The following is a 15,406-nucleotide window of genomic DNA, read 5'->3' as shown; positions in this document are numbered from 1 at the left end:
AAGGCCAGTCACTATTTTGTGGTGTAAAATAGTAATGTAAAACATTATTTCAGAAAGAAATCATTTTTTTTTTGCTTCACACCTTTATAGTCTAGATTGTAGAACACCAGACATAGTTACAATGAGATTACAATTTACAAAACATCCACAAAACAGTTGGAGAAAAATTTTAAATTACTTACATTTCCATTAGTATATTTGAGTAGAAAATATAGCTTAAGAAGTCTTGTCTATTAGATAAATAATTAAAATCCAATTTCTAAGAGCTAAAGAGATTATCAGTTTTATTAAACTGGTTACCTTACACGTAAACTAGTTTTCTGTGTGAGAGCTCTAGCTATATGAAAATGCTTTCATTTTAGCAGTTAGGTAATTGATCTTAAACATATAGATAAACAGAGTATAATTAACCTCTAACTATAGGGAAAATAGATTATAGAGAAATGTTTAGAATCTTAAAAGCTGCAGATGAATAAATGGGCTATAAATAGCCTATACAGAAGCCAGCCAATGACTTTCCAATTTAGGGCCATATATCCATTCCCCAATGAGGTCATCTTCACTTTTCCAGGCCCATGAGTACTTCTAGTTAAAAAGGTGCATTCCTATACCATTACTATGGTTTCCAAAGGATTAAACATTGATAGCATGGTCATTGTTACTTCTTCAACTTGGAGATTTCTACATAGGGTTTGGAATCTAGGAAAATGATGCATTTGATGGGGGTAATATAGCTATCTGTGACTGATCCCTTAGGAATAACTTTCCTCACAGCAAAATTAAAAGATTTAAATGCCTCCTGAAACACACAGGATCTGTTAAATACTTACATCCTCCAAGCCAAAGCAGTATGAAACCACTAAACACAAAATCAAATAATCAGCATCAGAATCTTATTATATTGTGTATTCAAACAATGTAAGTAGCCTTCATTTTATATTTACTTATTTATTGAAGGTAGTTTAATGAGTTAATTGAATATGCATTAGTTTGTAACTAAGCATGATCATATTCTTTGGCTTTTTGATATCTATACGCAATCTAAAATTCATCCATATAATCATTCAGTGACTTAAATAAAGCACTCTGTTCAACTAAAAGTAATCCATAAAGTCTTAAACTTCTTAATTTATTTATAGTCCATTAAATTGTTTCTCTAGAATTCATGCATCCAGACCGTAGAGGCAGTATATGATTATCTAGAACACAACTTCGTTCTTCTGTTAACCATTTACTTTGTTATTTGCATTACTGACAGCAATGCTCCCCTTGTTCCACTGTCCTTAGGATGCAGGCTGTTTATTCTGCTATATTTCCCTGGTCAAACTATTTTAAATGAATTCTTCTAAACAACTCTTGTCCTCAGAGGATATCTTGGCTCTCTTATAAGCCAGAAAAACATACTAGCATCCAGGAAAGGCTTGTTATAGCAAATCTTCTGCTTGAAAAAGGATATTTTAAGACCTATTTAATTTAGAATAATTAAAAATAAAAAAGTTCAAGTATGTTATTACACACCTGTTCTACAAAATCTACTGGAAAAAAAAAACAGTCGTGATTGTCTTAGAAAGGGGATAGGAAAATAAGTTCTCAGCTTGAAAAAACAAAAGACAAGAGAGGAAATCTTTTTTAAAAAAATAAGGGCATATGAATGAGATGTAAATAAAGCAATTCCAGATGGTAGAGGCAGTATATGAGAAAGTACTCATATTAGCAGTATCACTGTCATATGGAGGGCCACGAGGAGACAAAGACAAATGAAGAGGAGACATTTGATTCAAGAGATAAGCCAAAGAGGGTAAGTGGAAGACTTAAAACAAAACAAAACAAAACAAAAACTGAACTAGGTCCAGAAAAAAATGTAGAGCCAGTGGCACTGATCAAGAAATAGATTAATGTTGTCATATTTTTCTCTGTATACATACATAAAACATGTATGGAAAACTAAGTTTAAGTCGTAAAATAGGCTTTTTAAGGAGTATGAAGCATCAACTCTTAGAAAAATTGTGAAAGACTGTAATTAACCTCAACCTACAGAGTAAAACCCATAACTATTGTTTACAGAACAGTTTTCTTCAGGGTACTCAGCAAACTTTATAGATTTTACTTACATCATTAGCTTTTATAATATCCCTGCATGCTACATAAGGATAATTTTAATTTTCTCTATTATATAGGAGAGGAATTGTAGGCACAGATAACAAGTTTGAGAATTAAGATAATAGAAAGACTTAGGTAATTACCACAACTAGCACAAGAATTACCATTGTCATCAAAAGGTTTTATTTCCAGTCTCAAAATGATTGTGCAGATAAATGTTGGCAAAAAGTATTAACTGCCATAATTGCAAACCTAGTAACAAAATAAGATATCATAAGTTAATGAGAGTGCTTGGTAAAAATCTACTAAAAATAGATATAAAATTTTAACTTTTCTGAGACAATAAAACTTTAAATAATTCCATTTTCTTAATGGCAGCATGATTAATTTAAGATAAAATGTTCTTATAACATAATAAATATGGCCAAGTGTGATGGCTCATGCCTGTAACCATGACATTTCAGGAGGCCGAGGCAGGAGGATCACTGGAGGTCAGGAGTTTGAGCCCCTGGCCAAAATGGTGAAACCCTGTCTCTACTAAAAATACAATAACAACAACAAAATTAGCCAAGCTTTGTGGCAGACGTCTGTAGTCCCAGCTACTCGGGAGGCTAAGGTAGGAGAATCAATTGAACTCAGGAGGTGGAGGTTGCAGTAAGCCGAGATCGTGCCACTGCACTCTAGCCTGGGCGACAGAGCAAGGCTGTGTCTCACAAAGAAAAAGAAAGAAAAAAGATACACACACACACACACACACACACACACACACACACACATAAGTATGTATGTATATATAAAATAAATATTCTTTCCTCTTTACTATCATTAGAGCAAAAATATAATCCTGATAATGCCTGTTATTAATCTCCTTGGGGACACTGACTGTTTTCCAAACACATTTTTTATCCCTCAAGACTTTGTACATTGAGCACTCATTAAATATGTGTTAAATTTAGATTACTGGAATTAGACTAAGATATTAGTTAGCAGTCAGTTGTTACATCTAGACAAAATTTAATAGAACAGCCTTTCATTCTTTAGAATTTCACTTCATTGTATTGAAGAAGCTTAAAATAATGAAATTCTATATATAAAATAAGTAAAAGGATGAGAAATATTCATGATAATACTCTACATAAAATAAAATTCCAGATTAAGTGAGATCGCAAAGACAAATGTAAATTAGGTTAGAAAATCCAAAACTTCATTTTATGATTTTCAACTTTTAAAATCCTTTGTTTTGCTTAATGAAACAAAATTCACACTTACTTTGCAAAATATGTCTTTTAAAATATGTTTCCTATATATGACGTTATACTACTTTCCTCAGTTTACCAGCAAGTATAGAGATATGTGCATGCAGCAATTAAAACATGCTACCACTAAATACTCTTCCAATGTATAAAGAATAAGCAATAGGTTTCTTATGATTGTTCACCTAGAAGTACCTCTTCTATTTCAAAGGAAATACAAAATAGATAACTAGCGATATTTTTATAGTTTTAATTGCTAAAAAGTGTGTGTCCACATGTATTCTATTTTGATGCCCTTAGTGCTCTAGTAATAGATATTTAACATTTTATGGATAAAACACTTTATTACCTATTTGTAGAATAGATTGGTGAAGATATAATTTGTGCAAGCAAAAGACCAATGAAAAAAGGACATTTCAAAAATAATTAAGAAAATTAAGTTCTGCGTTATTTAATTAAATTAGACTCAATATTTTCCTTCCTCCAGTGACATCTACCTGCACTGGGAAATTGAAAGACACTTGAACAACAATCTGCTAAAATTTAATTTGTGGTCAAAGCAATTTATTTGGTCTATTAGGCTACTAGATTATTTAATTATTCATTCTTGATTAGTTTTGTGAAGATGACTGTACACTGATAAATACAAAAGGGAGAATATTAATTTCTTCAGTATTTGATTTTTAAGTGAGAATTAGTTTTCATCTGCACTTTATAGTTTTTGCTAAAGACCAATTCCATCAAAAACTGGTCCAAACTCATACCCTGGTAAAATCATGAAGATAGATACATTATTTTATAGATAAAACTCAAACAAACTCAGAAAGTTTTCTGCAGAATGACCTTATTGCTTTTATCATCACTTCTCATACAAGGTGTCATCACCTCTGATACAGAAATCTTACCAATCCATCAATTTATTTTATCTAAGATTGAAAGATCACACTTCAGTTCACTAAGAGAGTGTCTCCACAGCAGTGTTGTTATATAATCAATATAAATCAGTGTAGACAAAAAGAATAATTTATGCCAAGAAAACTACCCACATTGGGATATTTATAATCTTAGATTATTAGCATTGATCAAAATTGTTAAAGACAATTAGATCTGTGTAATACAACCTCATGTTTTCATTAAATAATTCTATACCAATTAATTTTGTCTTATAAAAATATGTTTTTATTTTAGGATTTAAGTCATTTCCTTTGGCAAGAATAATATTAAGTTCAAATTTATTTTTATTTAGATACAGTGGACAATGAAATAACAGATCAATACATCTGTATCTAATAACATAAAATTTAGTGGTGCTTCTTATAGTTAGTTGGTAATATTAAGTTAAGAGGCATGATGTGAGTAGATCACTCAGATTTGGGAACACATTTGTTCTTCAGAGCCTCAATTTATAAATTCCAGAATTGAACTATTTACGATGTCCAACTTACGTTCCATAAGTGTCCATCCATACTGTGGGATTTTTAATAACAGATGTATTTAACAAAAGGCATTAGTGGACGATGAACACTAACCAAGACTCTGATAATAGTAATGAAGTCAAAAGTTACTTAATCCTATTAGTGTCACACTCTCATTTGTTAAGACCTGACAGCATTAATAAAGATTCATTTATGAAGACAATGAGTTTTATGTTGTCATTTTTTCCCCAGTGGAAGTGTACTTTGATAATAACCCCAGCTTTCAGAAACCTCATAGTCGTTAGCATTTGATTGTCATCTCTTTTGCTTTTTAACATTAGATCAAAAATATTAATATGCAAATTATAGAATTCAGAGACTATAAAATCAAGTAATCTTAAAGCTGAAATGGAGAAATTTTAAGTGAAACTTCATTTTATATTTGAAAAAATGAGGAAATCATTATATTCAAACTCTTCTGAGCCTCTTGGAGGCAAATAAACTAAGTAAGTTTTCTAAAATTGTTATACTCATTGTTATAGTATATTCTCTCTGCACTGACATCAATGAATCTTTACTCACTTCTAATGTTACACATCACTTTGAGTTATGGTTACATAATGTTAAAAAATATTAATTTCTTCAGAACAACAAAGTTTGCTTGCTCTTTGTCTTCACAATGTATTATTTGATGTCTCATTCTTGGCAATTTAAATCAAGATTTCTAAATCTTGTGGTAGGTGAGATTTTTCACAATTTAGATTTTCTAACCCCAGATCGCAAAACAAATCTAATTCTAACCTTAGTTTCATAAATCCAGTCCAGCTCTTGATCAATGGGGAAGATGTTTACTTAAAATAGAAACAAGGGCCCAAACATCTTGACTATGTTAAAAGACTACCCCAGTTTAAATGATCTTTTGAGATTCATGGAAAAGATGAGGATGCCTTATGGGATGGGTAGAAACAAGGGAAGGCCTTGAGTAGGATCACTAACCTGAGAAAAAGTTGATCTTCATGTTCTGTCAACAAAAATTGTCAACCTTTGAAACACTGTCATGCCTGCCTTAAGGAAATCAATCAGCACACTGTCACTGGGCTAGTACAGAAATGTGACTGTTGATATATGCCAGGGAAGATGGAAATTTGAAGCAGAAAATAAAAATAACTGTAACATCATTATATAAACTAATTTCCCCTGAGTTCCTACCATGAGAAAAGAAGGAAGTCCCTGTGGTTTATATACATATTCTGAGTCAGACTGGGTGCTTGAGGGATGTTTCTATTTGTGAAAATGTTGGCTTCCCTGTCAAAAAATACTTACAATATTTTAAAAAGCTTTATAAATAACAGGCCATCTGAATTAAAAAGTGAAAGTTAAAGAGATCTGTGATTTCCTACTCCTGAACAACAGTTCTTCGAAATACTGCAATGTGTAGTACGATGTGTGTGAGTATGTAAATAGCTATATGTATATAGGGAATTAGCATTGCAGTATGATTTTACTTGAAAGAGAGAAAAGAGAAGCTTTCAAATCTGGATTCTTTTTTAAGTGGTAACTATTAATAACATCAAGAACTCTTATAGATGATTTTTTTTCTTTAAAGAGTAACATGATCCATTAAAAAGTTGAAAATTAATCGCATCAAAGTCACATAAATAAGTTTTATTTTTACTTATTTTTTAAACAAGCAGAATTACTTGGTAATCACTTCATTCCCCCACTTTTTCCCTTTTTAATTTTTTTAATTTTATTTATTTATTTTTTTTGGAGACAGTCTTTCACTGTTACCTGGGCTGGATTGCAATGGCGCAATCTCGATTCACTGCAACCTCTGCCTCCCGAATTCAAGTGATTCTCCTGCCTCAGCCTCCCGCCACCATGCTTGGCTAATTTTTTTTTTTTTTTTTGTATTTTTTTAGTAGAGACGGGGTTTCACTGTGTTGGCCAGGCTGGTCTCGAACTCCTAACCTCAAGTAATCCACCCGCCTCAGCCTCCCAAAGTGCTGGGATTACAGGTGTGAGCTACTGTGCCCAGTCTTTTTTCTTTCTTTCACTCTTTTCGTTTTGTATCATGAACTTGCAGTGATCCTGCTCTGAAGGTTATCTATCCATCTACAATCTGTCTGTTGATTAGGAGTCAGGAACTGCACTCTGGTTCCTACCTCTATCATTTACCAGTCATATGATGATAAGCATAATACATTATCACTCTGAAACTCATTTTCCAAATATTTAAAATGTGAAATAATACTTTCCCTGTTTGTGCCAAGGTATACTGAAACTCATAAAAACGTAAGCTAAATTAATATATGTATATATTAGTTTTAGAAATAAATATTCTAAGTTTTAAGTCTTATGAAATTTTATACTACATACATTTTAAACATTTAATAAATATTTTCCACCAATGCCTTTAATTTCAGTTAATTAATATCAAATAGTAAATAGTAGGACACCTTCATGTATAAATTGACCTATTTAAATATTTAAATTGAGCTTTTTTCCTAGAATTTTTCTCTATATTTCTCCCTTCTCTCCCTTTGCTATTTGAACTATTCATATACATTTTATATTAGCCTAGTTAGGATAAATGGTGATTTTTCTATTCTTGTCTATTCAACAAAAGTAGAGCAAATTAATATTAATTAAATTCTCATCCTATTCTGCAGGACAAAGGGATTTTTAAAAGAAATTATTATGGTTGGCCTACTTATTTCACATTGTAAAATTTACTAAAGTTTATGGATGAATCAACACATGCTTCTTTTCTCTGTTTTTCTTTAAGTCTCCTTTCCCATAGCATATATGCCACTTTCATGACAGGGCCTTTTTGCGAGTCAAAGTGCATTCAGTTAAAGTCGCCCATGTCATGGCCCTCTGCATGCCTGGGGCTATGCTTTGTGTTCCATTCTCATTATTTTTAACAAGCAGTCAAAACAGTATTTGTCCACGGGGCCACACAAATGCCCCAGTACTTTAGGCACATCATATAGTTACTTTAGGCTTATCACACATTCTAAAACAGAAAGAAATTTTAGAGCATTTCTAAGACTCATCTAAGAACCTGTAGTGAGACTTTTTGTCATTTGCTGACAATCTTTCAAAGAATGTCAAATGAAAGCACATTTTAACAAAGCTAAAATTATGCCAGCAGGCTTATTTGTTTTATTTGAATTAGTTAAGCAGCTTTCAAGACAAATCAGAAATTTCTTGGAAGTTCATTAAGCTGCCCTAAGGGAGACACGACAAAATTATTCTTTGAATAAAGCACTACGTTTTAAAACAACACATTTGTCAAGATGGTCAGTTGAAGAGACCCTATTGCTAATATCTGATTTAAACTTGGTAAGGTCTCATTTTGATTTTATCTATTAATTTGTATTGTCCAAATAAACGTTTTTTATTTGTTTAGGCTGTGCTGTGCAGTATGATAGCCACTAACCACATGTGGCTATTAAAATTAAAATGGAATTAATTAAGCATTTAGTTCCTTAGTAGCACTAGCTACTAAGTACTTTCAAGGACTCTACAGCTACGTGTGACTGGTGGCTACTGCATTGTTCTCACACAGATTACCGTCCTTGCAGAAAATTCTGTTGTGAAGTGTTGCTTTAGAGAGAGACTGTCCACTCTGTTACTCAATTTATTATGTCAAGTGATAAGCCTCACACTTCTATAAGTACTTAAATGTCTTAAAGCATGTTCAAAAATCTTCTATGCAGGTATGTCTACTCCATACTAAGTGCTTATTCTTCCCAATTCTGCCCCTGTGATAATTATCATCCTCATATTATGACTGAAGAAATTAAAGGTCAAAAAGATTAAGCTGAAAGTAGCATGTCTGGTAAGAGGTAAGCATAAAACTGTGATCCATATCTATCTGACTCCTGAATATTTTTCCATTTCATCAGATAAGGAGATGTCATTGCAGGAACTTCACCCCAAAGTGCTCACTTAAAAATCATCTAAATTTTAGTTTTTTTGAGGAACCTCGAAACTGTTCTCCTTAGTGGTTGTACTAATTTACATTCCCACCAACAGTATTCAAGAGTTCCCTTCTTTCCAAATCCTTCTCTTTCTGTTTTCACTTCATATACTCAAACATATCTGCATTTCACTGAAATTTGCTCAAGAGGTTTGTAGCCTTCCATTCCTGAATGAATTTATAAATAAATATATCTTTACAATAGATCAGCATTAGTTGAGAAATTTTCCCATATTATATATCCTCCAGGTCAAAACCTTCAGATGATATATATCAGAATGTCTTATTTATATGTTTTGGGGCATATTTTTAACACTAGTTATTATATAGATCATAGTTTGGCAGAATATTTATAAAAGTGTGAAAATCCCCTGAACATATCTATCTGAAACATGCACATTAGTTATTTCATTAACATATATTTTCCAAGATCATTCAAGTGCATTGTACTATTTCACATACCCAAATCTGAGTTATCTATTTCTCTTTATATCATATAAGTAATTTAAAAGAATTGATCATTAACTTGATAAATGTGGCCCCTCTGCACATATTTTGAAGAATACCAAATATTCTATCTATTCTTCTCTCTAACTTCTCCATCCTAAGACCCAAATCAAGCCAGAGTAGGTTATTCAAATTAACTGATTGACTCTTTTTTGTTAAAAGGCTTACTTACCCTTTACAACAAATGAACACTCTGTTTTCAAATAATTGTAAAAAAATGAAAATATTTAACATTAACAGAATATTGACTAAAATTTAATCTCAATTTGATGATACAGGATATGCTAAAGACCTTGCCTTACCTTGAAATCCTCATGAAAAATATTTATCTATATATGTTCAGAAATGCTAGTAATAAATTAAATTGTTCTAGTCACCTCTCAAATAGATTTATTTGGCACCATATCAAATGGCAAGATAAAATTTGTGTATCTAAAGTAATCACTAGGAAAAATTGATAATCAGATTTATGGATTCATTCTTAATGATTTGCTTATATCAAGTTTTTGGCAGAAGCATGACTGGACAGATTAAAAGAATGAAGCTGGGCAAACTACTGATTTGTAAGTAGCAGGGCTGACCTTGTCTGATCCCTTTATAGATTAATGGAAACACAGCTGTTTGAAAATGAATATACATACCATGAAAATTCATAATCCACCTGTAATTGCAAAAACTGCATTGATGAATTTTCTCCACTATGCTTTAAATTACATAAATTTTGAAAAATTGGGGTGATGGCTTACTCAAAATTTGAAATACATTAATATCATTTTATTTTACTCTTTAAAAAATGAGATGATATCTTTAACAAAGTGATTTTAAAACGCACCTTAATTAGTTCGTAGTTTTGAACTCCGTTTATTCCTACGTCAGGATCAACAGCCGCTGGGAGAGTATATTTAGAGTTTATAGCCGAGTTCTCTGGAATTGATATGTTGATAACTGTTGCTGGGAACAATGGTGCATTATCATTTATATCTTCTATCAGAAAACGTATCTTAACCAGTCTAAATATTTCATCCGGCAAAATGGCAACCTCCACTTCATAAAAGCAATGCTCATCCCTTGGGATACCAGCACATAATTTCTCACGATCAATGCGAGCGCCAGTAGTGAAGATCTCACCAGTATCCTCTTCAATTCGAATCAGTGGCACATCTCCGGTCTTGTACACTAGCTTGAACTGCATAGCAGTTGTCAAGGACTTGTTTGGAATCAGCGACAAGTTAAGGTCTTTCAACAAGTCGCCTATCAGGACGTTTTCTGGCATTTCTTCTCGGATGGTGTAGTTTTTCTCCTGGGCGCCAGAGTGGAACACCACGCATGCTAGCAGGACCGCGAAAATGTACGTCCCGGACAACAAGTCCATACCAGGTACACTTGTTACAGTTTGTTGTATTAACCCGCACAACACTGACCAAAAGAAGAGGAGAGAGAGAAGAGGAAGAAGAAATTATTAAGAAGCCAACCCTAAACATGCATGTTAACAAAAACTGTTTTAAATTAAAATCAGTAAATGAGATGTTAGCATAATTGACACTCTGTTAATTAGTGATAAATTTGTTCTGAATCAAATATTATGAATTCGTACATTAAGAATAAAGATAAATGAAATAAGATACCTACAGTATCAAAAATGACACAGAGTACCTATAAAAGTGTCCACCATTGATAAATATATAAAAGATAATACTTTAATATACCAAGATAGTTAAAGAGAATACAAATAATTAAAATATTTAATTCAATAGTTAAGGGAAAATAAAGGGTATTTGTTACAAATCACAAAATATAATCATTATTCTTTGTTATAATATGGGTTTAAAATGCAATTATTCTCTTGGCAATGAATAATTTATACAGTAGTCCATTTCTTCAGCTCTGGGCATCAAAGTGAAAAAAAATTGATCTGGATAAAACGAGGCAAGGAATCATTATAAAGGAGGGACTAATAAAGTTTGATTTGAAGAAGAGAAGTTTGGGAGAGGAGAGGGGTTGATGTGACTAATGCCTAAACATGGTAACAACTATCATGTGAAAAGGGGATTAGAGGATTTTTCTTTGGATAAGAAAAACAAGAATAGCTATTAATATAAAGTACAAGTAAGCAACTTTCAGATTGACATAACTGCTTATTAAAGGATTCTGAAAAAAAAAAGTTTTCAGGATATTTCAGGAGTGTATTCCATATCTTTGGAGGTACTGGACCACCAGATTAGATCTACTATATTTGCTTTAGATATATGGATTTGGTAGATGACGTCCAAACATTCAATGGGAGAGTTAGACTAGAAGACATCCCAACCCTGAGAATTTATGTTTATAGAACGCAGAAGGTAGTTCATATAAAAATGGGTTTTCACATCTATAGACTAACAGGAATTATACAACTTCAAGGAACAGCTTGAGAAGGGCTTGAAAATAAGAAAGGCATTTAAAAACAGTACCGAGTTGAAAGTGAGTCAAAAATCAATCTCTCTTGCTACTTCTCCCTATTATTTTTCACTCACTGAAAGCTTTAAAATTATTTCAGTTCTTGAACTCTTCTGACAAAATTCAATGAGGAATTTTGATTTTCTTAAAATCTGCAAATTTTATCTTCAGTTTCCTTTCGTAATTCTCAATTCTTATTCTCTATTTTATTTATTCTCAAGTTTATATATTAAATATCTTTTAATCTCTAGTATAATTAAACATTCTAATGTGCTTCTTCTGGATAGTATTTGTAGATGATATATTATATAAACAAAATTAAATTTGTATCACACTGAGCTAAAGCCTATCAGATGTCATACTTTTATAATTAAATGAAGGTTAATGCAACTATTAAGGTATTTAGCAGTTTTGAAAACTCAGTGGTCAGATGGTTATTTAAAATTCCATTCCAGAAATGTATTAATGCATATAGGTATCCAGTTAAGGAATTTCTCAATATTTATTGGTAATCGATAACATCAACAAGTTTTAGTAATTGTTCTAAAAACAGGAGGACTACATATGATATAAATAACTTGTTATGGATATTGTGCTCTGGTTATGCCAAGCAATGTGTTATATGAAATAACTGTCCCATTGCATAGCTGCACATCCGCATTTTTTAAACTATGCATATGCCAATGTTGGAATACACAAAATTGGAAAAAAAGAAATCTTCCTATTTACAATCAATAATCAAATAAATGCATCTGTTGCAACAATCAAGATAGTTTAGGTCAGGAGTAGACTTAAAATATCTCATTAATTTTTATCACAACATTTTAAAAATATATACTATGAATTCAATGACTTTCCTATGTTAAGCAGTTGGTATCATACATAAAATATGTTAGTTATGATAGTGAGTAATGCTAGAGCTGAAGACATTATTTATCCTAGTAAACAACACAAAAACACTGTTGCCTGTGGTATAGTATTTTTAGCATCATTTGTACAATGATGTGCATTGGGATTACATAATATAAAAACTCGCTCAAAATTCAGTCTTGTGAATTTTTGGTTTTATACTCTGTTATGAAGGTGAGATTAAAAATACCCCATTGATACTACCAGCTAATATGCACACATATATGTATTCTATATGCTGTGAATCTAGCATATCTAAGAAGTTTTGGATGTTTATGTGATTTTATAAATGTCATGCAAACATAAGCAGAAATAAAAATGGGGCAGTGACAATTGGAATTAAAATTATCGCTCTATTCTTATCTTACCCTTAGGTATTACACATTATTACAACTGGCAGAAGAATACTACAGACTGTTTTTAAAAACATTGCAGGATATTCTGACTTATAAGTGGGAGCTAAATGATGAGAACTCATGGACATATACAGGGGAACAACACACACTGGGGCCTATTGGAGGTTGGAAGATGGGAGGAGGGAGAGGATCAGGAAAAATTAATGGGTACTAGGCTTAATACCTGGGTGACGAAATAATCTGTACAACAAACCCCCATGACACAGGTTTACTTACATAAACCTACACTTGTACCCCTGAACTCAGAATAAAAGTTAAATTAAAAAAAAATAAGATAAAACAACCTTGAATTCCTGGGATAACCCCCCAAAATGAAAAACAAAATAAAGCAAACTAAAGAAATAAAAGCATTGCATGCATGTCGCAATATCTCTACACAACATAATTAATAGAGCGATCTAGTTCCAAGAAGTCACCCTCCCTCAATCCATTCTAAATCTGTTCTACTCTATCTTTATTTTTAATTTTTTTAATTATACTTTAAGTTCTAGGGTACATGTGCACAACATGCAGGTTTGTTACATATGTATACATGTGCCATGTTGGTGTGCTGCACCCATTAACTCGTCATTTAACATTAGGTATATCTCCTAATGCTACCCTTCCCCCCTCCCCCCACCCCACAACAGGCCCCGATGTGTGATGTTCCCCACCCTGTGTCCAAGTGTTCTCATTGTTCAATTCCCACCTATGAGTGAGAATATGTGGTGTTTGGTTTTCTGTCCTTGCAATAGTTTGCTGAGAATGATGGTTTCCAGCTTCATCCTTGTCCTTAAAAAGGACATGAACTCATCCTTTTTTATGGCTGCATAGTATTCCATGGTGTATATGTGCCACATTTTCTTAATCCAGTCTATCATTGATGGACATTTGGGTTGGTTCCAAGTCTTTGCTATTGTGAATAGTGCCACAATAAACATACATGTGCGTGTGTCTTTATAGCAGCATGATTTATAATCCTTTGGGTATATACCCAGTAATGGGATGGCTGGGTCAAATGGTATTTCTAGTTCTAGATCCTTGAGGAATTGCCACACTGTCTTCCACAATACCATCATCATATAAAACATTTTAAAATGTGTTTCATAACTGGAAATTCATTCAGTGGTTTTAAAAACGGGGAAGAAATATTGAGAAAAAATACCATTTCTAAAGCTTAAGTGAATATATATGTTGCCAACCTAGAAGGAATATTCACCCTCTAGTTAATAAAGAGTTTGAGATGAAATGAACTCATGGAGGTTTAGCCACTTATTCAACAAATACTTATTAAGCAATTTTTATATGTCAAGCACAGTTCTAGACACTGAAGGTACATCAGTGAACAAAACAGAGTTTATATTTGATAATATATTCTAGTATGTCTTTAATTCAGTGTTCAATTACTGTATAATGAACTCATCTCTGCTTCTACCAGGATGTGAACATGCATGTTTAAGTAACCTCAATCTCCAGATTTTGATTTCAACTCTCACATTTGCCACTTGAAAATTTATTATCTTTAAAATTTATTAAGTTTTCTTTGAAAATGCTGAGTTTAATTCTTTGAATGAACAGTACAGAAATTTAGCTACTAAATACGGATATAAATAATCACTGCTTAGTCTTATGGAAGCATGGCACATTTAACTCAGATATCCAGGGAAAATATGCCTACATACGTATCTTAATGTATGTAAATTACATTCTAATTTTTCTGTCTCATGAAAAATGTGACAAGGTAACCTTAAATTTCTTTGCCCTTCTCCTACAACCCACTCCTACTATAGATTAATGTTAGTTTGGAAATTGATAAAGGAAACAACACAAAAGAAGATATAAAGAACTAAAATTTTTGACAAGTTCCAGTAGTGCCCATGCTATTTAAGTGATGCCCTTTATCAGCAAGACATCACAGTTGGGTAAGCAATAGTTGTATTTAGAGGGACACAATAATGACAATTAGAGAAAGCAAAAGCAGAAATAAAATAAGCATCTCTGAAAATTTAAAGATGTATAAAGCAAAAATGGAAGTTCATTTTATCATCTCTGAGTAGGTAAGGGAGCTAGGCATCTACTATATGCAATTCTAGAAATTTCAAACCACACAATTAATGTTCAAATGCTTTGTCAGAAGAATTTCAAGGCATAATTTCCTTGATATTTTTTAAATTTTTTCTTCATTATAGTGCTGGTTTCATTTGTAATATATTTAAATGAATTCTATGTGAATTACTGAATCATATGCTAGAACAACAAACACATGAGTGAATGGTTTATATGCTACAATTTTTGTACAATTTCTACAATAGTACAAATTTAAGTATTACATGAAGATAAGAAATATCTATCTGCTGCCCATTATCCTAACTCCACTTAAATCTCATCATTCCAATTATTTCA

At 32.1% G+C, this 15,406-nt stretch overlaps 1 protein-coding gene across 15 annotated transcripts in view; it reads right to left on the bottom strand.

Annotated features, from left to right (window-relative positions):
- The window catches only part of PCDH11X (protocadherin 11 X-linked), an 843,856-nt gene that overhangs the window by 777,091 nt on the left and 51,359 nt on the right, over positions 1-15,406 (bottom strand). For all 15 annotated transcript variants that reach the window (XM_011530911.3, NM_032968.5, XM_011530910.1 and 12 more), the window contains one exon: positions 10,096-10,679. In XM_011530911.3, coding sequence (XP_011529213.1) covers positions 10,096-10,679 — 584 coding nt within the window. Of the gene's footprint in view, positions 1-10,095; positions 10,680-15,406 lie in introns of those variants that run through there.

Source organism: Homo sapiens, chromosome X (assembly GCF_000001405.40).
Source record: "Homo sapiens chromosome X, GRCh38.p14 Primary Assembly".
Classification (NCBI taxonomy): domain Eukaryota; kingdom Metazoa; phylum Chordata; class Mammalia; order Primates; family Hominidae; genus Homo; species Homo sapiens.
This window is presented reverse-complemented; position numbering and strand designations above follow the sequence as displayed.